The following is a 1,928-nucleotide window of genomic DNA, read 5'->3' on the forward strand; positions in this document are numbered from 1 at the left end:
TTGGTAGGCATGGCTAACATTTGCAATTATTGATTTTAAGTAAAGGAGATTACTCTTGATAATGTGGGTGGACCTAATCCAAACTAAAAGGCCTTAACAGAAAAAAAAAGTTTCCCAGAGAAGAAAGTTTGTGCAAAGATGGCAACGTCAGCTCATGCCTGAGTCTACAACCCTATGGACTTTAGACTTGCTAGCCCCAAAATCTCTTGACCTAATTACTTAAAAATCTCTTCGCCTCTCTCTGTTTCTGTCTGTCTGCTTCTCCCTCTCTTTATATATATAGTATATATAATATATAATTGTTATTATATAATTTTATACTGCTCTGTTTCTCTAGAGAACGCTGACTGATACAAAACCTATGTAAGACCATCTCAGGAGTTTAAAGATTAATTTCTATTGTAAAGGCATTTGCTTTCTCCTGTTTTCTGACTTCTCAGAATCAGATAAACTTATTCATGAATCAGGTAATTCACTGAAGAGCTAATTCTTTAAAATAAGGTTATCTCCCAATATGTCTAGGAGGACTTATTCAGGAAGACTTATTCAGGAGGATTTATTAGCCCTTCAAGGCTTGTTTTCAGAAAACTTGTTTTGCATTCAGACAACTTTCATCCATCCATTCTAATGGCTCAAAATCACCTCAAAAAAACTCGTGCACTTATTTGAGGACTTGAGAATTCGAAAGTTTCAGTATGTGTGCATGTGTGCATGATTGTTTGCAGCTTGGGCTTTAAACTCCTTTTTTTTTTTTTTTTTTTTTTTTTTTTGAGATGGAGTCTTGCTCTGTCACCAGGCTGGAGTGCAGTGACGCAAGCTCGGCTCACTGCAACCCCCAACTCCCTGGTTCAAGTGACTCTCCTGCCTCACCCTCCCATATAGCTGGGATTACAGGCATGTGCCACCACACCCAGCTAATTTTTGTATTTTCAGTAGGGATGGGGTTTCACCATGTTGATCAGGATGGTCTCGATCTCCTGACCTGAGGTGATCCGTCTGCCTGGGCCTCCCAAAGTGCTGGGATTACAAGCGTGAGCCACTGTGCCTGGCTGTGCTCTCAACTCTTAGCTCTACCTCACTTCCCACCATATTTATCCTTCTTAAATCCTTTGCTGAACTATTCTATTTCTGATTTAGTCTTAATTCCTGAGGACATGGTGATATATAATGCTTCACTTTTGCAAAACTGCACGTAATCCTTTTTATTTCTGTAGATGAATAATTTCACTACTGTTTATGTAACAGTATACCACCAGGAAGAGCATATTTTTAATGGCCCTTTACACTAAACACAATGAGATGCCTAAGTGAGAAATAAAAATTATTCTACTCTCTCCATTATGCTTGCATAAATTAGATAGCTTATTGTATGTGAGTAACAACATACCATCTTATTATAAATAAGAAATGCTTTTTACAAGAGAAAAAGTTGTTATAAGGTAATCTTAATACGTTTCTATTACTTCAAAGTTTCATTTTTAGGTTTATGTTTGATGACTTTTGATGTAATGACATATTTTACTGTTTTATGTTTATATCCTTTACGCAATTTTTAAAAATTGAGAATTAATACGCTTTAAGGAAAATGTGAATACAAGTTTAATTTCCCACTTAATGAAAAATACTACCATGCAGAGATGAGAATCCAAATATACACATATTAGGTTTTCCTTAAATATGTTCAAAGGAGACTTACAATTTTCTGAAGCATGTCTTTCTTCTTCCTATATCTTGTTTATAAATATAGTACATAATATACTTAGATTCATTCCTTCTTTGTTCCTGTAGCTCCACTACTGATAATTCCTTACATGCCTTTCTGTGCTTGTTCTTACGTGTTCTTTCCCAATTTGTAAACAAATATGGTTAAAATGCTTGTACTTGCTTCAGATAAAGATATTAAAACCAAAAGAATACCTTCTGTGTCA

This window comes from Homo sapiens, chromosome 10, assembly GCF_000001405.40.
Source record: "Homo sapiens chromosome 10, GRCh38.p14 Primary Assembly".
Classification (NCBI taxonomy): Eukaryota; Metazoa; Chordata; class Mammalia; order Primates; family Hominidae; genus Homo; species Homo sapiens.